The 22,248-nt window shown below is 41.4% G+C and overlaps 1 long non-coding RNA gene across 2 annotated transcripts in view, besides 4 other annotated features; it reads right to left on the reverse strand.

The window, feature by feature from the left end:
• LOC124904314 (uncharacterized) overlaps window positions 1–21,715 on the reverse strand; it is a 31,764-nt gene extending 10,049 nt beyond the window's left edge. The window contains exons 1-5 of one of the 2 annotated variants that reach the window (XR_007066395.1): window positions 21,621–21,715; window positions 21,236–21,424; window positions 19,706–19,881; window positions 7,264–7,393; window positions 516–620 (exon numbers count right to left, since the gene is read on the reverse strand). This is a non-coding gene — a long non-coding RNA (uncharacterized LOC124904314). Of the gene's footprint in view, window positions 1–515; window positions 621–7,263; window positions 7,394–19,705; window positions 21,425–21,620 lie in introns of both variants that reach the window. The other variant, XR_007066394.1, reaches the window with a different exon arrangement.
• Window positions 20,724–21,360: an enhancer, noted in NCBI's record as "H3K27ac-H3K4me1 hESC enhancer chr18:59273187-59273823 (GRCh37/hg19 assembly coordinates)". NCBI's record gives its function as "activates a minimal SCP1, AML or CMV promoter by ChIP-STARR-seq in naive H9 embryonic stem cells {active_cell/tissue: H9 hESC(naive)}" and the evidence as "EXISTENCE:reporter gene assay evidence [ECO:0000049][PMID:30033119]".
• Window positions 20,724–22,248: a biological region, named in NCBI's record as "P300/CBP strongly-dependent group 1 enhancer GRCh37_chr18:59273512-59274711".
• Window positions 21,049–22,248: an enhancer, noted in NCBI's record as "P300/CBP strongly-dependent group 1 enhancer chr18:59273512-59274711 (GRCh37/hg19 assembly coordinates)". NCBI's record gives its function as "activates an origin of replication core promoter dependent on BRD2, BRD4, P300/CBP, MED14 and CDK7 cofactors, with strong dependence on P300/CBP, by STARR-seq in HCT116 cells {active_cell/tissue: HCT116}" and the evidence as "EXISTENCE:reporter gene assay evidence [ECO:0000049][PMID:35650434]".
• Window positions 21,361–21,996: an enhancer, noted in NCBI's record as "NANOG-H3K27ac-H3K4me1 hESC enhancer chr18:59273824-59274459 (GRCh37/hg19 assembly coordinates)". NCBI's record gives its function as "activates a minimal SCP1, AML or CMV promoter by ChIP-STARR-seq in primed H9 embryonic stem cells {active_cell/tissue: H9 hESC(primed)}" and the evidence as "EXISTENCE:reporter gene assay evidence [ECO:0000049][PMID:30033119]".

Raw genomic sequence — 22,248 nt, forward strand, 5'->3', positions numbered from 1 at the left:
AGCTCTAACAAATACAGTAAAAAGAAAAACCTAATAGAAAAATGAGGAAAGGATAAGAACAAACTTCCCAGCAAAGAAAATACAAATGAGTCTTAAAATCCATTTATCTCTAGTTTTCCATTATTGGAACGCTAAGCATGTGGGAGTTATTTATATCCTACTGCTCAAGGTCATTGCTAAGGTCTGATTGCAAAAATTCAAAAAATTGCAACCTCAGGCATAAATGGGTTAAACCAATGAAGAGATGTTCAACCTCACTCATAGGGAAGAGGGAAATTAAAGAGAAATGCTAATTAAAACGATGGCAAGGTTTTTTCAACCTACAAGATTGGCAAGTTACCAAAAAGTTTAATAACATGCTGTTGGTGAAGATCTTTTAAAATCAACTTTTATATCAATAATGAGAATTATCACTGAGGACCAGCAATTGAAGGTTTCTTAGAGCATTTTTTGTTGCTGCAACAGAATACCACAGATTGTGTAATTTATGAAGAAAAGATATTTATTTGGCTCACAGTTCTGGAGGCTGAGAAGTCCAGGACTGAGGGACTACCACTGATTAGGGCCTTCTTGCTGCATCATAACATGACAGAAGGTAACACATGGCAAGGAGGTGTACCCTAGAGACAGAGATACAGACATTTTCAAAAAATTGAGTCTGAAAAATGGAGTAACTAACTCACTCACGCAACAACTAACCCACTCCCATGGTTATGGCGTTAACTCATGAGGGCTTTGCCCTCATAACTTAGTCACATCTTAATACTGCCTCAATGGCAATTAAATGTCAACATAAGTTCTGGAGGGGACATTCAAATCATAACAAGGGGTAAGAGTTAAATAGTGCAACTTTCATGGAAAGCAATTTGACATCATCTGTAAAAATTACAAATTACCCTTTGGCCCAACAGTTCTCCTTCTGGAGGCTGTGAAATCCAAGATTAAGGGACTAGAAGATTTAGTGTCAGGTGAGGGCTCCCTCTCTGGTTCATAGATGGCAGCTTCTTGCTGTGTACTCACGTGGTGGAAGGAAATAGCTGGCTCTTTTATAAGGGCACTAATCCCAGTCATAAGAGTTCTGCCCTCAGTTTACCTCCCAAGGCCCCACACCCTGAACCATCACCTTAGGGGTTAAGATTTCAACATATGAATTTTGAGAGTAAATAAACAATCAGATCATAACAATCTCCACATTCAATGTGAAATAAAAAGAGCAAGTTGGACTGGGCATGGTTGCTCATGCCTGTAATCCAAGCACTTTGGGAGGCCAAGGCAGGAGGATTGCTTGAGTGCAGGAGTTCAAGACTAGCCTAGACAACACAGGGAAACCCAGTCTCTATTAAAAAAAATTAAAAAGAGCAAGATAAAGAACAATGAGTGCATGCTGCCATTTATATTTTCAAAAAAGAACAACTAAATATATACATAGAGATAAACTAGGAAGCTATAGAAGAAACTGGGAATTGTTATTAACCTAGAGATTAATGACAGAAACTAGAAGACAGGAGTGAGACAGTGGCTTAACTTTTCACTAGATATCTTCAAAAACATTTTTTTAACACCTAAGTCTATATCGTTTATTTTTTAAGTTAATAAACGGGGAAAAGTCAAGTTATTATAAATACATTTCCTGATTTGCTGTAATGACAGTAATTCTGAAGCTAAATTACAGAGCTTATATTTTGGATAAATAATTCATGATCAGATATAAACAATGATTTGGCACATTTGTTTAATTCCCCTTTGTGTCTAAGTAAGGGCAACAGAAAAAAGATCTTCAATTAAGGGAACAAAATGAATCTTACAACATTTGAAAAACTACTTTTGGGGGCATTTGGCTTTTCCGTGCATTCTACCCTGATGTGCAGATGTCTTCTAACTCAGTGTCTTATCATTCATTTAAATCCACTTGTTCTACAAATATTCACAAAATGCTTTTCCTGCACCAGGCACTGGAGCCCCACTAGAAAATAAGCTCAGCACAACTGCTATTTTCATGAGTTCAGTTTTTTCACGATTGTCATCCTTCAAGCCATGTGTAACGGATGATGATGTAATCAATAAACTGAGAACTGCAGGTCCTAAAATATGGAGAACCCACAAGCAGAAAAGCTTACCATCTGGGAAAAGAAGACAGCAAGCACTCATGATCCATGGAAAACCATTCTAGAATTAACCTTTTTCAGTCTGGGATTGAAATGCCTTGATAAATATTTATTTTAGGAAGACAAATAAGAAGGGAGGGAGGGAGGGAGGGAAAAACAAAGAAAAGAAAGGGCCCAGCTGCAAAATAGTCCAGAAGAAATAACCTCTGAACTTGAGATGAGTACATTTTAACACATTCATTAATTCATTTGCTTGTTTGACAAACATTTACTGAGAGCATACTATGTGCAAGGCACTCATCTAACAAGCAGAGATGAACCAAAAGCCTCTGCCTTCATGAAGCTAATATGAAAGACAGATAGATAATAAGTAACTTGATGCATAACCTATTGGCAGGCGGTAATAAGTGCTATGAATAACGTAGAGTAGGGTATGAAGGTAGACGAAGGGATGGGGCTACCGTTCTAGGCAGGCACAGCGGAAGTTCTCTCTAAAAGATGCTATTTGAGCAGAGATTCTGAGGAAGTGCAGGAGCCATGTAGCTACCTGGGAGAGCATTTTCTAGGCAGAGGAAAGAACAGAACAGCAGCAAAAACCTTCACATAGATGTGTACTTAGGAGGTTGAAAACTCAAGAGGCAAAGATGAGTGGATGACTTTATGGAGTTTAGCAAAACATAGCTGAGAAACAATGTCAGTGTTTCTTCCAGAAAACACACCCAACTGTTACGTAATTTCACACAATGACCCTGGATCTTTAAAGCAGAAAAGAATCTTCTTATTTACAGACAAGGTAGGAGCCTACCCACGTGGGCCAGTGTCAGTAACACTGACCAATTGCCCTGTGACCAAGAAATATAATATTTCCCCAGCACTCACTGATCTATGGATTTCCTTCTATAAGAACAATGCTTTGAGACCCATATTTTGAAGTGAGCTTCAAAATATAAAATGCCTTAGAAAGATAATGCATAGATTTGAATTCATACCAAGGTAAAAATAACTATTATTTGATACTGCTGTGAGCAGTATAGGTTTTCTGAATTCAGGGGAGGACAGGGCATTGAAAAAATTAAACACATACAATATAAAAGCTAGAAGTCCTCAAACCAAGCCTCAGCTGCTGTGCTATTTTCTCTCAGATAATGGCTGAATAGAAATATTCTTTCTCCCCAGAGAGAAGAAAGGTATTTCTGTGAAGCTACCATGGCTTGTTAGAAGTACCCCTTGGGGACATATGACTCCCTTTGGAGTCTAATTATATATTCACCCAGCGGTATTCTGATCTAAATTTAGTTATCTGAGAAATATCCAGAAAGGGAATACCATTTGCAGACAGCTGCACTAGGTGATTACACATTGTAAATTAATAAATTGACCTTGTTTTATATAACTCCAATGTGATGAATTCTGCAAGTGTAATAGAGCCAAAGACACAAATCTGAAATAACCTAATGAATAGATGGAAGTGTCCCTGGACTTTAAATCTGTGAACTCCTTGGTTAGACCTCACTATTCTAAAACTTTTCCAGATTCAGTATTTAAGGAAAATCATTTCCTGAATGCAGACTGTGGAAGAATTCATTCATTCTACAAAAGATATGGATACCCTGGGCTAGGCATAGGATTTCTAAGGAAAAAAATAGGACCTGCCCTGCCCTCTCCACATGAGGCCACCATGTCTAGCAATTAAGCAGAGGAACCAAGACCCTCAAAGCCAAGTTAATATTCACATTCAAGATCCTTAACTACCATTGTTTTATTGTCTCAAAGAAACTGCAACACAGGAGTTACCAGTAGATCTTAGATTCTTCAGTTTGGAGCAGACCTCTTTGTTCTAAACAAGTCACTGGAGTGACCCTTTGGTGACTTAAACGTAAATCTGGTAACTTCCTCTTCTGTTGGGGCGAGGGTGGAGAGGTTTGCGCAAGAAGCACAGGCCCTCACTGAGAACTCCACCCCTTCTTGTTAAGATCCAAACTGGTGATTTGCACTCCAAGTTTCCTAGCTGATGACAGATACCAGAGGGAAAAGTTGGGGTTCAGGATGGGAAGCTTAGCAAAAGAAGGAAAGGGGAGCTCTAGACCTGTGACCTGGATCCAAACATCCAGGAGCAGACATTCATATCAGAAGGCAGGATCTAAACATGATGTCTAGTTGATGCTGATACCCACGCTGACCCAGCTGATCTAAGAAGATAGTCATTACTTGGTAAACACTGAGTGAGTGCATGTGGGAGAGAGAGAGAGGGATAAATGAAAGAGCTCATCACAGAGAACCTTGGGACCGCAGGTCTGATGAAATGCAACATGAGGATATTCCCATAAAAATGTCTGAAGTTACTATTTTGGTAAAAACGTCTGCAATGTGTAAAATGCAAAAGCCTGAGAATGACAGTTCAGCATCGCAGCATCATTCTGCTCCACTCCCCAGGCAAATGTATGCCATGCCCATACAGGCTTCATTCTCTGATACTCCCTGCACATCGGATAGCTGAAAGCCTCAGAAACTTAAGCAAAAGGAAAGTTGTTGGAAGGCTGCCAAATAGCACACAGAATCCACAGGATGACTAAAGAAGTAAGCTTGGAAAATGGTCAGGAACAAGGCTGGACAGCAGGAAGTATGGTTCCAGGACAGAGCCGCTGGCTCTGCTTCCATTGGACACTCAAGGCCAAGACCGACATGGACTCTGAACACCAGAAGGCATCCTCTCTTAGCTGTTCCTACATCTTTGTATCACTCCCTGGACATGTAAAGTCCAGGCTGGAGGGTCCTGTGCCTCACTCTGGCTGTCAACGGCCAAGGATGGGGAGGCTCTCTCAGTCTCGGGCTCTGTACTGTGAGGACGACCCTGCCTCCCTCCCCTTCTTCATCCCCGCTCTCCCCAACCCTACAAGATTCATACTGTTGGGGGAGGCTCTGAAACTAGAAAGTAGCTGTGGTTTGGGGCAGTCAAAAAATGACATTTGGATGACAGTTGGTGTGGGAAGTTGGAGATGGAGGCGACAAAGATAAAGGAGGAATAAACTCAGCAGACAGCAAATCTAAAACTCCGTGTAATTTAGACAGGACCTGTCTTTAAATGTGTAAAGATGCTGAAATGGAAAGAATGAATCCAACTGTGAGAGTAATCCTGAGAAGAACTCCTTGATTAACTACAAAAGATATCTCTACAAAAAAAAAAAAAAGACAGTCCTACCTTCCTTGAACAGTATTATGAAAGATTTTGAGAAACAGGCTATTGAAAGCTCACCTCAACCACACCTTGGAATTAAAAGTCAAAGAAATTTAATGTTGATCGTATGTTTGTCTACCTGCTAGATATGAATCAAATTTATGATATAGTAAAGTTGTATTTTTAACATGACCCAGGTGTATTTTATAATACATTAGTGCCTATTTTATATTTCAGGTATATTTTAGTCTATAATACATTAGTGCCTATTTTATAATCCATGTACTTAGTACATTTATGCCTATTTTATGACCTCAAACATAATTTTACTACTTGTATGATTATAAAGGTTTATAGATGTTGTGGTTTTACATATATTTTATATTCTCAGTCTGGTTTGTAATTTCTTTCAAACAAGAGTGTAACCTCCAAAGCATTCAAGACTGATCCTGCATTCTATAAGAATCTACATGACGGCATGGTCTCTGGAGACACAGAGCAAAAATTAAGGCCTGGCCACATGCCATAGATACTTTTATATAAAATTTGATTTATTATCATAATAAAATGGTCAGGAATTTTTGGCTGGTTTTTCCTTGAACCTATAATTTTACAAAATTACAAACACCTATGAGGGTTTTCCATAGTTTGTATTTTCCAAAATAACATGTTCTAGTAATGTGCTGGGGCTATGATGGACATTTCTGTTGACCAATATAGGAGGAGGCTATAAGGAATGTGTACAGGATGAAAAGCTGAGTGGAGAGCAAGCATGGGCTCCACTACTTACTGGGTTAATGGTTTATACCAAAGCTGATTGCAAGGAGGTATTTCAAATTGGTCTTTCCCCAGCATTGCTTTTCTATTACACTGGCCCCAAATGCCTGCCTCCTGAGAGTTCTCCAGGAGCTCAATGTTCTGCTCTGGCTATGCTGTGCTTTTGATGTGAGTTGATGACAGAAACAATTCTGGAATATACCTCAAACTCATGGAACAAAAACATGACTTGCATTTTCATAATTGCAACAGTCTAAAAGTCTACAGTCTTGGTATGATGGACTGATTTGTGTCACACCAAAATTCATATGTTGAAGTCCTAACCCCCTCTCAGAATGTGGCCATGTTTGAAGGTAGGACCTTTGAAGAAGTAATTTAGTTAAATGAGGTCAATTTCTAGAGGCTGCCCACAATCCCTGGCTCGTGACCCCTCCTACCCTCATCAAAGCCAACAATGTCACATGTGTCTGATGCTGCTTTCTTTATCACATCTTTCTCTGACCACAACTGGGAAAGGTTCTCTGCTTTTAAGGACTCCAGTGATTAGGACCAGCAGGGTAATCTGGGAGACTTTTAAGGTCAGTTGATTTGCAACCTTGATATGGTTTGGACCTGTGTGTCTGCACAAATCTCATGTTCAACTATAATCCCCATAGTTAGAGGTAGGGCCTTGTGGGAGGTGACTGGATCATGGGGATGGATCCTTCATAAATGGTTTAGCTCCATCCACTTGATGCTGTTCTCTTGATGGTGAATGGGTTCTTACACGATCTGCTTGTTTAAAAGTATATAGCACCTCCCCCACTTCTCTCTCTCTCTCTCCCTTCTGCTCCAGTCATGTGAAGTACCTCGCTCCTTTGCCTTTCACCATGATTGGAAGCTTCCTGAGGCCTCCCCAGAAGGAGAAGCCACTATGCTTCCTGTACAGCCTGCAAAACCATGAGCCAAGTAATCCTCTTTTCTTTATAAATTACCCAGGCTCAGGTATTTCTTTATAACAGTGTAAGAACAGACTAATACAAACCTTAATTCAATCTGCTATGTGACTGCTACTGTCATGTAACAACATATTCACAGGTTCCAGAAATGAGGATTTGGACATCTTTAATGGATATCAGGGGAGAGTGGGTCATTTTTCTGCCTTCCACACTGTATTACCTTGAAATGACAGAAGCTTAACATACTTAAGGTTTATTTCTCTCTCACCCCAAACTTATTAAGGTTCACGTGTTTTCTCCTTGGTGCCTCATGTCCACGTCGTGACTCAGGAACCTGGGTTCTTTTCATCATGGGGCCATCATGTCAGGACTCTCCATTTCCAGGAATATTTTAGATTCTGTGGAGCAGGAAAAATACCAAGAATGAGGATATCATGGGATCTTTTAGGGCCCAAGACTGCAATTGGGGAACACTGTTTCTACCCTTGACTTCATTTGCCAATTCTGAGAGCAGATTTATTATTCCCAAACTCAGTTATGTTGATAGGAGCCTTCTCTGCCTAACAAGATTGTTTATGCCTGGAACCCTACAATTGTCTTGCCACTTCCTCCCAAGAATTAAAACCTGCATCTGAACTCCAGCCTGATGACTAGGATTCAGCATGGGCCTGATGGTCGTACATCTCCTTCGGGCCCAAGATCTCTATATCCACTTCTGTAAATAGCATCCGCACCTCAAACTGTCCAGAACTGAACTCATGGATCCACACAAACTTAGTGCTCCTCCAAGGGACTATTTATCCATTTGCTCCAGCCTAAAAATCCTTGCCACTGCTTGTCCCTTCTGCCCCTATTCAGTCACTGTGGCCTGGTGACTTTTAAAATTTGTGGTAAAATACGTGTAACACAAAATTGACCATCTTAAGTAATTTTATCTCTGCAGCCTCTCATGAATCCATCCACTTTCCACACATCAGCAGCAATGACACAACTCCAAGACAGCACCTCTTGACCAGACTCAGTTGTTTTTCTGACATCTCAGCTCTTTTTCCCTTCTAACCCATAACTTATCAGCCAGAATGACTTTTCAAAACACACACAATGCTCCCTGTCACACACATGCACACACATGCACACACACACACACACACACACACACACCCTCCAATCCACTATCTTTAATGTGGCCTTAGAAGCACTCTGCATGATCTGGCACCTTCCCCAGGCCACCCACTCCTGGCACTTTGTTCTGCAGCCAGGTCTTTATTTACTTATTTTTGTTTATTTATTTATTTATTCATTCATTCATTCATTCTATTTACTTATTTATTTTGAGATGGAGTCTTGCTCTGTCACCCAGGCTGGAGTACAGTGGCATGATCTCGGCTCACTGCAACCTTTATCTCCCAGGTTCAAGCAATTCTCCTGCCTCAGCCTCCCAAGTAACTGGGATTACAGGCACGCACCACCTTGCCCAGTTAATTTTTGTATTTTTAGTAAAGACAGGGCTTCACCATGTTAGCCAGGCTGGGTCTTGAACTCCTGACCTCAAGTGATCCTCCCACCTTGGTCCCCCAAAGTGCTGGGATTATAGGTGTGAGCCACCAAGCCCAACAAGCAGCCAGGTCTTTAAAGGCCTCAGACTTCTTTTTCCCCGGACTTCTTTTTGCCTTGCGGTTTTCCTCTTGCTCTCCCTTCAACCTGGAACACCATCGATTCTCCTCTTTACCTAGATCATCTTCTCCTTCTCTCTTCCTCCTGTTCCAGCCATGTGAAGTGCCTCGCTCCCTCTTTGCCTTCCATCGTGATTGGAAGCTTCCTGAGGCCTCCTCAGAAGCAGAAGCCACTGTGCTTCCTGTACAGCCTGTGGAATCCTGAGCCAATTAATCTTCAGAGCTTTGTTCAAACATCACTACCTCAAGGACATCTTCCCCATGCCCTGCAGACCACATCAGCCCCTACTCCTACTCTCATACCGCTGTGTCATACGACTGTCATACTGCTGCCCTGGGTTGGTTTCCCAGGAACAAACTTTAAAAGGAAGGAAGTTCTGAAACATGCTACAACATCGATGAACCCTGAAAATACTATGCTATGTGAAATAAGTCAGTTACAAAAGAGCCAATACTGTATGATTCCACTCATATGAGGTATCTGTAGTAGGAAAACTCATAGAAACAGAAAATAGATTAGAAATTACCAGGAGTGGGCTGGGTGTGGCGTCTCATGCCTGCAATCCCAGCACCTTGGGAGGCTGAGGTGGGTGGATCACTTGAGGTCAGGAGTTCAAGACCAGCCTGGTCAACATGGCAAAACCCTGTCTCTACAAAAAATACAAAAATTAGCCAGGTGTGGTGGTGGGCGCCTGTAGTCCCAGCTACTCAGGAGGCCGAGGCAGGAGAATCGCTTGAACTCAGAAAGCGGAGGTTGCAGTCAGCCGAGATCATGCCACTGCACTCCAGCCTGGGTGACAGAGCAAGACTCTGTATCAAAAAAAAAAAAAAAAAAATTACCTGGGGTGGCCAAGCCCAGTGGCTGACTCCTATAATCCCAGCACTTTGAGAGGCCGAGGCCAGTGGATTGCTTGAGCCCAGGAGTTTGACACCAGCCTGGGCAACATGGCAAGACTCTGTCTCTACAAAAGAAATGCAAACAATTAGCTGAGCATGGTGGTGAGCGCCTGTAGTCCCAGCTACCCAGGAGGCTGAAGTGGGAAGATCACCTGAGCCCAGGAAGTCAAGGCTGCAATGAGCTGTGTGCCACTGCACTCCAGCATGGGCAGCAGAGTGGAACCCTGTCTCAAAAAAAGAAGAAGAAGAATAGGAAGAGGAGAAAGAAGGAGGAGGAGGAGGAAGAGGAGGAGAAGGAGGAGAAGGAGAAGAAGGAGAAGTTGTTATCAGGGGCTGAGGAAGGAGAAAATGAGGGGTTGTTGCTTAAAGAATATAAGTTGGGGGTGATAAAAACATTTTGGAACTAGATGGTGGTGATAGTGGCACAACTCTGTGAATATAATTAATGCCACTAAATTGCATGCTTCAAAATGGCTAAAATGACAAAAATAAATATTTACCACAAAAAAAAAAAGAATGTGAAAGAGTAGAGGGAAAGCGAGGCCATTTCTAGATGATCCCTGTTTTTCGACACTAAAAACCTAATTAGAGATCCACTGGTTCCTGCCTACATAGCCTGCAGCATCTTTTTCTTACATTAAAAGGTAAGACTCAGGTCCTACGTTCTCATTCTGAGCAAGAATATCAGAAGGGAAGCCACTCTCAGAAATCCATCAGCAGGGAGGGCGTGCCAGCAGCTCCACTGAGCTGCCACCTTCTCTTTAGTGTATTTGCTACTTGTAGGAAAAGAAAAGCCCTGTGCGTTTCAACTATGACTTTAAGTGTTCTTTTTACTAGGCAGTAGTCCATTAAATTAGATTCAATTAAAGTTGATTTGATTGATGAACTAAGGTCTCATAGTCTCTCCAAAGATAACATAGGTTTGTGTCATCGATCCAAAAACCTCTCACATTTTGGCAACCGTGCAGCAAAATGATTTATTTCCTCAGTAAAACCAGGCAATACTATTGATCTACAGAAACATCACTTTAGTCATTCCTACGTAGTAGAGGTTCTTAACTGTTATTAAATCAGCTGTTCACTGGCTGACACATCACAAATTGAAACTACGCACACAAATCACACGATTGAACTTGAAAAGCCAAATCTGTTTTTATTACACCGTGGAAAGTAGAAATGGGATTTCACTCTGCCGAGGTTATCACATGGAAATAGAAATGCAAAACACTCCTCCTTTTAAAAATAATAAATAGCATAAATCATGTGGACAGCTGACTGCTACATGGTAACATTCCTGTGAGTTTTGCACTAATAAGAAGCTGAATTAGATTAATACCTGTGCATTCTCCTAAACAGTTCAAGGAAATTAATTTAGCTCTCCACCTGTCTGAACAAAATGCTTTTGAAATATTAACTATCCGATTCTTATCACTAAAAAACATTTCCTTTACACCTATATGCACATATGACTTTGCTAAGCACTTCCTAAGCAATTCAGACTGATGGATTATATAATCTAAAAATGCAGTTTTCCTATTAAAAAGACAACCTGGAACTTGTTTATTTAAGTGCGAAACAGCACTGACTTTTTTTTAAGTTGGATTATTTCTGGTTATAAAAATGTGGGGAGGTCTTATTTCATACAAAAGATGTGTCTTGCCAGACCTTGTGTAATTCGAACTTGCATAATTCAAGAATGATTTTCTCAAGGGAATAAATATAAAATAAGACAGATGTATTCTCAGAGCACATTTACAAGTTATAACATATTTTTTGCTTTTAAAGCTGTTTTTCCTGTTCCCAGCATTACATCTAATATTTCATGGAGTGCTGTCTCCCATATTAACTGCACCATGTTTCACAGTAGTCGTTTTCCCTCCTTCTTGGCATCTTATCACATATAACTTCCCTTCAAATGCTATTGATTTGGGGGAACATTTTTCAATGTAAATGCTTGCATCCCTATTTTGTGAACATTTGAATGACATTGTTCCGAGTTGTAAAAATATGTTACATAATAATAACCGTGAATGCTAAAACAAAAACATAATAGTAACTAAAATCACTTGCAGGAGTCCCAAAATGCAAACAATAGCATGGTTTATTGAATCTTGCAAAACTGGATTGGTTTATGTGTTTACCAGCTAAAATGATCATGTTGTAAAAGTGTAAACAAAGATTACAATATTCACTCTGCCTATCAGCTTTAAAATTACATGACTCTTGATAATTTGTTTTAACTTGGTGGATTAACATCTCTTTTTTTTTTTTGAGATGAAGTCTGGTTCTATTGCCCAGACTGGAGTACAGCGGTGTGATCTCCGCTCACTGCAATCTCCACCTCTTGGGTTTAAGTGATTCTCATGCCTCAGCCTCCCAAGTAGCCAGGACTACAGGCACGTGCTAACACGCCCAGCTAATTTTTTGTATTTTTAGTAGAGACAGTGTTTCACCATGTTGGCCAGGTTGGTCTCGAACTCCTGACCTCAAGTCATCAGCTCACCTCGTCCTCCCAAAGTGCTGGGACTACAGGTGTGAGCCACCACACCCAGCCCAGATTAACATCATTTTAATCTTTATGCAAAGTAAGCTTTTACTGGTACTTTTACATGGATGTTTTTGAGTTTACATATTCCAAACTTGCAGAAACAGATTATTTTCACTTCTAACCTAGTGTGTCCTCCTCTTGATGGATTAAAGCCAACCATCAACTGACCTCCAGATGGATCCACTTTCACTTTTACTTTCCATTTATGTAGAATATGTGGTAGGATCTGGATGGGCGTCTGTAGCAGGTACAGTTAGTTGTATCTGCTTCTACTCTAACCTCCATCTTCTTCCTTCTGAACAAAACCTTAACTTTTGTTCAGTTATGCACCCCTCTGCATGGCTTAGAGGAAGATGACCCCAATGTGAGCTCCAGGGTGAGACCCTGAGAAGTCTAAGGTGATCATGGGGGTCCCAGGCCCTCGCCAGCTTAAGACTGGGTAGGCATATGGTGCACTTCTGTCTGTTGATATAAAATGTGAAATCTGCTTGGGGACAGGGGTGGGGAAGGCGTGTGGGAAATGCTTCTTCACTTCTTAGAAAGAGACAGTGGAAGTTTGGAAGAGAATGGTCCTTCTTCCTCTGGATGCGGTTATGTCCAAATATGATGCCTAGAATTATAACCCATCTTGACGCCAACCTGAGAATGAGACCAACACTCAGAAGAGAGCAGAGGCAAAAGCATCACAGAGATGTGGATCCTGAGGCCCACCCTACCTCTAGACTCCTCTTAGTGTGAGATCATTGGTTCATTATTAAGTCAATTTAAGTTTTCTCTTCTTTCATCCTCCAATCTAGCAGACACAGTGCCTCTTTCTGTCTTCATTAGCTGACACTCCTGGAAATCAATGTGTGTCCCCTCAGTTTCCCACTGGGGAGCTACGTAGTGTTGGGGTACAAAAAATGAAAGTATGGCTCTTGGGTATGCTGAGTGCTTTTGAAAATTGAAAGGCCTCAGAACCAAGGCCCTTTTAACCTTGCCTTGTTCCTTTCTCTGCCAAGCACAGGGAGCAACTCTCTACAGAATTTCTTTATCTGACCAAGAAAGCTTCTTACCAAAGGCACAAATGCCTTCTATCCTGCCTGATATGGTTTGGATGTCTGTCCCCTCCAAATCTCATTTTGAAACTTGATCACTAATGTTGGAGGTGGGGCCTAGTGGGAAGTGTTTGGATCTGGGGGTGGATCCTTCATGAATGGCTTGGTGCCATCCTCACAATAAGTGAATTCTTACTCTTAGTTCCCATGAGAATTCTGTGACACCTCCTGCCTCTCTTTCTCTTGCTTCCTTCTTCCCACCATGTGATGCCGGCTCCCCTTCCCCTCTGCCATGAGAGGAAGCTTCCTGAGGCCCTCGCCAGGAGCAGACCCTGGCACCATGCTTTTTCTACAGCCTGCAAAACGATGAGCTAAATATACCTGTTTTCTTTATAAATTACCCAGCCTCAAGTATTTCTTTATAGCAACACAGACTAAGATATATCCCCTCCCTGAAATCTCATTTAAAAAGAAGACTGAAAAATGCAACCACACCTGAATAGACTTTTTCACAAGATAATGCCTGCCTCTCAACTTCATTCAAATTCCAAAAAGAATCATTTACAAGTTCATTTCTGTGATCCTGGTCCAGTCATTCTCCTGAACAATGAGGTACTGGCCCTCGAAAGAATTGTCTTCATCTCACATCTCTTCCCTCCCCTAAGGAAAAGGGTATATAAGCTTCTGTGTACCCCACTAGGGAGATTTCCTCCCCATGCCTCCCACATTAATAAGTGTGTATGGATTTTTTTCCCTACCAATCTACCTTTTGTCAGTTGATTTTCAATGACTCTTCAGAGAGCAAGGGGGAAGTTTTCCCTTTGCCCCCCACAGTAGACACAAAGCTTAGAGTATGGACCATCTCAGGACCTCAGTGATAAACTGCAGCATATCACCTCTTGGAAACAAAACCAAGACATGATATATTAAAAACATCTGTTAGGATAAGAGCACTTAAAAAAAGAAAAACAAACTCTGAACTAAAATACGCATATGAGGAAGGAAACAGCAGATTCACTCAAGCACAAAATAAAAACTATCCAGAGCAAACATGAGAAATTCAGAAAATCCAGCAGAAGAGAAATCTGACAAAGCTGTTCATCTTCCGTTCTTTTCTCCAGTCCACTTTATTGTGAGTAAACTTTCAGAAAAAGTGATTCCAACTCACTGTACCAGCCTACTGTAATCTTGACCCTTGTCCTCAACCTTGGAAAATTCCTTGACCCTTATGGCAAGAGGAGTCTTTCAGTTGATTAATTAATTGGAATGGAAACCATGAATATAGGCAACTTTTGAGAAGTTTAGGTGTAAACAATCGCAGAAAAATAGGGTAAGTGTTGGTTAGAGGTTAAGTGGACTATTTAAGATCATCAACGTTTTATTTATTTATAATATTTTTAAATAGGGATGGCGCGGGGTGGGGGTGGTTCTCACTATGTTGCTCAGGCTGGTCTTGAACTCCTGGCCTCAAGGGATCCTCTGCCACAGCCACTAAAAGTGCTGGGAATACAGATGTAAGCCACTGTGCCCAGCTGAGAACATCAACATTTTAAACATATTCTCTACTTGTAGAGAATATTCAGACTTTTTCTTTTTATCAAAAATTATAAATTTGATTTTAAACTTTAAGTTATTTATTATATACAGGTTAATACTCTAACACTGTACTCTCGAAAAGCTTATAATTTTCAAGCCCAGAGGATCCACCGGTAACAAAATAACATCCCTCCCTGGTGAGACTTACATTCTAAAGATTTGGCAGGATACAAAGAAAAGAGGTGAAGAGAAACAAATATGAAACAAATGTATAAAAATCAGGTGGTGGGAAAAAATAAGAATAAAGCATGTAATGTCAGATGTCAAAGTGGCGAGTAGAGACCTTAGGAAAATGAAGGAATTTGCGGACACAACTATATGGGAGGAAGCTATTACAGATACAGGAGCATCAGACGCAAAGGCCTTGAGAAGATGTTTGCTTAGAATATTGAAGGGACAGCAAGAAGTCCAGGAGGGCATGAGCAGTGTGTGACAGCTGAAGAGAGTGGTCATAAGTGATATGAGAGAGAGTGGAGGCGGGGAAAGATTGTGCATGGTGTTGTGAGTTATTACAAGGATTTTGAGTTTTAACCTGAATAAAGAAAACCCTGGAAGATTTTGAGCAGATGAGAGTCATAATTAGACCTAAAATGTTAGAAGCATCATTCTCGTTTCTGTGTTGAAAATAGATCATGATGCAATAAGTCAAAAAGAGGGATGTCAGTTCAGACATGATTACAAAAACTCAAGGCAGAGACCATGGCAGCTTGGACCAGGGTGATAGTGGTGGAGATGGTGACGGATGGTCAAGTTATGGAGTTATGGGTATACTTTGCAGGAAATTCCAACAGGCTTTGCTGATGATTACACGTAGAGTGGGGCAGGAAGAAGAGAATAAAGTTTTTTGCCTGATAACTGAAAGAATGGTTTACGCTTTTGGAGATGAGGACACCTGTTGGACAAGCAGGTTAGAGAGGGGGTGGAAGGGTGATTATCAGAAGTCCAGTTTTGGAAACATTGGTTTTGAAATATCTATTAGATTTCTGTCTTAGCTAGCGAATGCTGAGTCACAAACCACCTCAAAACTCACATATAAGACACAAAAAGCACAATGCATAAAAGAAAAAACAAGTGTTTTTAAGAAATCAAAATGGTAAGCCACAGAATAGAGGAAAAAATTCGTAACACGTGTATCTAACAACTTGTATCTAGAATCTATAAAGAGCTCTAATAATTGAAGAATATGAAGATAATTTTAAACGGAGCAAAAGATTTCAACAGTCACAAAAAGAGGATAAACAAATGGCCAATAGGCACATGAAAAGGTATTCAACATTACTAGTCCTCAGGAAAATGAATTAAAACTACAATGAAGGCTACGTGCAGCAGCTCACACCTATAATCCCAGCACTTTGCGGGGCCTAAGTGGGCGGATTGCTTGAGCCCAGGAGTTTGAGACCAGCCTGGGCAACATGGCAAAACCCCATCTCTATCAGAAAAATTAGCTGGGCATGGTGGCAAGCACCTGTAGTCCCAGTTACTTGGGAGGCTGAGGTGGGAGGATGGCTTGAGCCCAGGAGGCAAAAGTTGCAGTGAGCTGAAATCTCGCCACTGCACTCCAGCCTGGGTGACAGAGCAAGACCCTGTCTCAAACAAACAAACAAACAAAGCAAAAAAACTACAATGAGATACCCCTACCTACCCATGAGAATGGTTAAAATTTAAAAGACTGACAATGCCAAGTATTTGAGATCACCAATGTATATCCTGTCAAAACTCACTGAACCTTTTAAACGTATGCAATTTATACTACGCAAATTAAATCTAAAATTATTTTTTTAAAAAACTCAATGGGTTAAAGCTATAATTTTTATAGCTCATGAGTCTGGGGGTTAAATGAGAGTCAGCTGCTACTCGGGAGGCTGAGACAGGAGAATGGCATGAACCCGGGAGGCGGAGCTTGCAGTGAGCCAAGATCGTGCCACTGCATTCCAGCCTGGGTGACAGAGCGAGACTCTGTCTCAAAAACAAAACAAAACAAAACAAAACAAAACAAAAAAAGAGAGAGAGTCAGCTGCTTAGGGCTTGGCTCAACTAATCTCAGATGGATTTGTGATCCACTCTAATAGGGCTTGACTGAAGTTCCTTAGGAAGCTCTGCTCCAAATTTCTCATCATATATATACATATATATATTTTTTTTTTTTTGGAGACAGAGTTTCGCTCTTGTTGCCCAGGCTGGAGTCCATTGGCGTGATCTCAGCTCATTGCAACCTCCGCCTCCCGGGTTCAAGTGATTCTCCTGTCTCAGCCTCCTGAGTAGCTGAGATTACAGGCATACACCACTGCGTCCCGCCTTCTCATTCTCCTCTCAGGGCCAGAGGGTTAGCTGAGCCTTGTGCTTCTCATGGTAGTAGCAGAAGCGCAAGAGACAATAAGTGGAAATACACAAGCACTCTTGAGGACTAGGCGTAGTATGTGCACACTGATGGGGTTCAGAACATCTTACCCCAAAATATGGCACATTGGCATTTGAGAAAACAGCAGAAGCAGGAAGGTCACTATCATTCCTCCCTCACCCTTCTCCCTTGAAGCAGGTCATAAAACCTAGGAAGGTCACTCTCTGACCTTCTCCTACCCTTCTCTTCTGAAACAGATCATAAGACCCTCATTCAAGAAGTACCCTTCATATACCCAGAGAAAAGGAAACATCCTTATCTCTGAAGACACAGGGACACAGAGAAAAATCAGAATACACAAGCCTCGCTAAGTTCCTCCCAGTTTAGTACCAGCAGATCACAGCTTTTTGTCCTCCAATCATATTTCTCCATGACTGTCCACTCTTCCTACACCTAAGCATAAAAATACACACGTTTAACTATTTCTTCAGGAGGCTCCCATGCCACACAAAACTTATATTAAATACGTGTTTTTGCTTTTGTCTTTTTAATCTGTCTTTTGTTATAGGGGCCTCACCCATGAATATAGTGATAGGTGAGGAAAAGATATTTCTTTCCCTACAGTACATTGAATTTGGCCTCATCCTGTCAAGCAAGTGACATGACTAAGCCCAGATTCCACAGGGGTGGCAGGAAGAGTAGATCCTGCCTCTCAGTGAGAGGGAATGCAGAGTCACACAGCAAAGGCTGTAGACATCATACAATCAACCTCAACATCCAAATGGGTATATCACACATCCTGGAAATATGTGTCTAGGCTGAAAATATAATGTCATGGTTGTCAGAATGGGAAGGTATCTGAGGCTATAGGGACCAAAGGGAAACCTCTCCTTCACGCTCTGAAGGTTCACTGAAAAATCAACTCACAAAAGACTGGTTAATTGGAGAAAAGGCAAACAAATTTATTTAATGTATATACATGGGGAGAACCACCGAGAGACTGCCCACCCCTCAAGAGCATTCAGAAGCTTACACACCTTCCTGGTGGAGCAGGTTATGGGAGGGGAGGGAAGAGCGATTCTGTTGAGGGGATTACTAGGGAGAATGAGTGGCTCAGGGAACAGAGATGAACTTGTACATTTCCTTGGAAAAGGTTCTGTTCAGGTGTGATTACACTCTTGGACTTACAGAGAGGGGAAGAAGAAACAATTGTTCCTTTTGGCATGTCTAGATCTTAGGCAGATAAAGGTTTGAGGAGAGATGTCAGGAGTAGGGAGATGCCAGAGAGACCTCGAGGCTTCTTCAGTTCAGCGTTTAAAAGCACCACATTTGGGGGTATCTGCTTCTGACTCCTAACAAGGCCATGTGACTAAAACAGTCACCTAGAGAATGAACGATGACAGAGATGAGAAGAGAGTCAAGGTTGGGGAGATGACAGGAGCCAATGGTGGACACTGAAGTGGGGTGCAACTGCTGATAAACTCAAGAGAGAACACAGGTAAGAAACTGTTTTCAAAAAGGAGGAGGCATGATCAACTGTGGTGATTATTACTCCATGAAATAAATAAAACTGCAATCGCTGCCTGATTCTTCTTGAGTAGTCACTTCATTATGGATATATCAGTGTGTTCAACTAGGATGCAGTTCGAATCTAAAAAAGAAACTCTGCCCTGCCATACATGCCCAGCCAGGTAGATGAACCAGGTGAGATTAGCTGAGCCCAGCCAGAACTATATCTTTTGCTATATTTATTCCTTTATAGATGCTGGGGTCATTTCCAACATTAGTGAGATCTATAGTCTAATTATTTATGTAACAATATTTATTGGGGGCCTACTTTTGTCATACACTGTTCTAAGCAATGAGGCTTAGAAAAGAAAATAAGAGCTGTCATAGAGTTTGTTTCAGTGGAGGGAACAAACAAGAAACATAAACAAGTACACATATAAATAAGCAAGTAATTTCAGAGAGTGGTGAGTGCTGGGATGAGGATAAAAGAACACTGATGACTAGAGGGTGACTGGGGGAAGTAATTTTGATCATACGGTCAGGGAAGTCTTCTCCAAGGAGATGATAGTTGGCTCAGATCTAAGTTATTGAATTAGACAAATCCTTAGAGAGTTTTATTACAGTTTTTCGACCCTCCGCCAATGCTAGACTGATACTCAGAAAGAATTCCAGCATCATCTCCTCTTATCTCCCACTCTGCTGAGAGATGTCAATAAAATGGGACAGTAGGCATACCAAGAGAGGTATATGAGATGCCTCCTGGACCATGGGACCTCAAATCTGGGCTTCTCCTGCCAAAGAAGAATCCTTTTCAAGAAATGTACCTAGTCAAAGCTATTCAAAAAACAGAAAGGTCTTCTTTGGCTCAGCAAGTGTGGTTTTTTTCTGTGGCAGGAAGAAAAGAAGGTATTACACTCTGCAGAAGGAAAAATCGTGATTGACTCAGAGGCCCCTTGACTGGTCATGACCTTCCCACTTTCTGCTATCAGAGAAATGAAATGAGGTACCAAGTGATATATGTCTTACCTCTCCCTGAGACCCATTAGCAAACTCAGATGGTAGGAATAGTTATTGGAATGAAGACACTAGCTCAAAGGGACAAAAGAACTTACCCAATGTCACTCGGTTAATAAGTGACAACACGAGAATATGAACCAAGGAGGACTGGTTGTTTCCAGAGCCCCGTGTTCTTTCAACTAAATGTCTCTGCCAGGCTGCCACACTGGACATCAGAAAATAAAAACCATTCAAAGATACAGGGCAGAACCAATTCATCTGTGGAATTCTTCTAAGAGGAAAAAAAAAAGAGAGTGAGAGTAAGATTAATAATGCCATGTTGCATTTTCAACGATGGGCAGTGAGAACAGCACACAACAATTTATAGAAAAAGAAGGTATGTGTATTCCCTGGGGCTGGAAAGTTGTTAGACATTAATAGCAAGAAAATTGTTAAGAAGTTGACAAGAGGCAAAGGAAATGTCCTTCCTTTCTCCCTGCAAAAACCTTGTTGAAGGAGATGTGGGAGAGAACACAGGATGGAAAATCAAAGCAGATTTGGGATAGAAAAAAAAAAAAAGAAAAAAAAAACTCACAGGAGGGAAATATGAGAAAACTTGAAAGAAAGCAATATGAAATAAAACAATTTTGGAGTAAAAAGGAAAATAAGCATAGCTGTTGTAAGAAAAGCAGGATAGTTAATTAACAAGGGGGATAAAAATGTCCTACAGATAATATTTATCATCCTTCCCAGTTTTCCTGTGGCTTTACTTGTGCCCATCTGTCGGCCTGATCTTTTCCAAGTGTCTGTTGCCACATATACAGGCCATTAATTTCTTAAAAATATTACTGAAATTAGATTGCTTCTGGCCTTCTTATTGTTTTAACTTTTTTTAAAAATTGTGTTTGTTTGCCTGTTTGTTTTTGCATTTGGCAAACAGGGAAACATAGCCTTTCCAACCCATAGCATAAGAAAATATGGGAGGGAAACTTCTCTATTGAGAAGCATATTCCTCTACATTTTCAAACCCAGTTTGCCAAATGTACTTGTACACACATTCTTCTTCCCCTGGGGTGAGAAATCTAAACCTGAAACATTCTGACAAGAACAAAGAAAGCAATTGCAAGACTCTATTTATTTGCCTTAGGAAAGAACTTAGCAAAATGGACGATGCTTATTATGAATACGTCCAAGTTAGATTTTAAAAATTATCCATTAGACTCCCTTAGGAAATAAGCAGTTGACACATTCAGATTATACCCATGTTTATTTCAAAAACAGGGACGAAGAGCCTTCTTGTCGTCAGTCACGGGCTGATAGGAGTCTACTTTTAGCTAGGAACGGCCAACGGAAGATAATTGTGCCATTTTAAATGCCACATAATGTTCTTAATCAGCAACCAAGTGTAGAAGGGAGTCTGTAAAGGGCCTGAGGTCCTGATTCAATTTCTTCAGCTTCCCAAGCCCGCTCCCAAAGAGCAGGCAGGCCACCCAAATCCTGCAGCTTGTGAAACCGGCTCTGGCCCCAGAAGGGATTTATGAGCGCTTCACTTCAAGGAATACCACCCAGGTTGGCTGGCTGCAAATGCGGGCTGCCTATTAGTTCTCCTTCATTTCCCAGGAAGTGTGAGTGAGAGAGCTCCCCACCTCCCGATAGGCGACAATCCCAGCCTCTTGACATCTCTCGCGCTGAGCAAACTTTTCACTGGAGGATCCCAGCTGTTCGCCACCTCCCCGCTTGCTTGCCGGCAGTCTGGTGTACAAGGCAGAAGGGGCGAGACACACAGAGAAGAACCAAGGGGCTTTTGGAGGCTTGCTTTTGCCTGAAAACAAATACTTGAGGGAGAAAAATATGTTTTAAAGGCTAAAAGATGGGAAATTAAGCAATTCACTTCCGCAAAACCATTTAGAACGTGGGTGGTGGGGTGGTGGAATAGGGTGGCATTGGGAAGAAACTAGCCTTCTTCTAAGTCAGCCCCTCTGCTGCACCCCCTTGGTGCCAATGTGGCCCTGACGACAGAAGCTCCCTTACCTGGATCCTTTCCATGTTGCTCTAGAGACTGTCTTTTCCTGCTTCAAAGTCTGTGCGCTCTTGGCGGCCACCCACTAAGATCCTATTTCCTGTCTGAAGGACGCCTTGGCTCTCTGCAGGGCAGAGATAACTGATGTGCCAATGAGTGACGAGCTCAGGCATGCAGCCACTTCCCCTCTCTGGAAGGCTCTCTAGTGACTCACTGCTCTGGCATTCCCAAAGGAAGTGGGAAGATTTTCATCAGATTATTAATTTGCATTAATTTTTTTTTTTTTTTTTTTTTTGTAGAGATGGAGGTCTTGCTGTGTGGCTCAGGCTGGTCTCGAACTCCCAGGCTCAAGCAATCCTCCCACCTCAGCCTCCTAAAGTGCTGGGACTACAGATATAAACCACCATGCCTGCCCTAAATTGCACTCTTAAGATTTACACATGAGAACTATATAACTAAGGGTAGATGGTTTTAAATAGTAGGACAATTTAACACCCCCCACAAAAAACCCTTTAAGGGATGCAAGGAGCATGTAAGAGAACAGAATATGCTACCCCATAATATGCCTCTTTGGCATAGGAATTATTTAGAGCTGATTATTTCGAGAAAATGCAGACATAGGAGAAACTCTGAAAACAG

This window comes from Homo sapiens, chromosome 18 (assembly GCF_000001405.40).
Source record: "Homo sapiens chromosome 18, GRCh38.p14 Primary Assembly".
Classification (NCBI taxonomy): domain Eukaryota; kingdom Metazoa; phylum Chordata; class Mammalia; order Primates; family Hominidae; genus Homo; species Homo sapiens.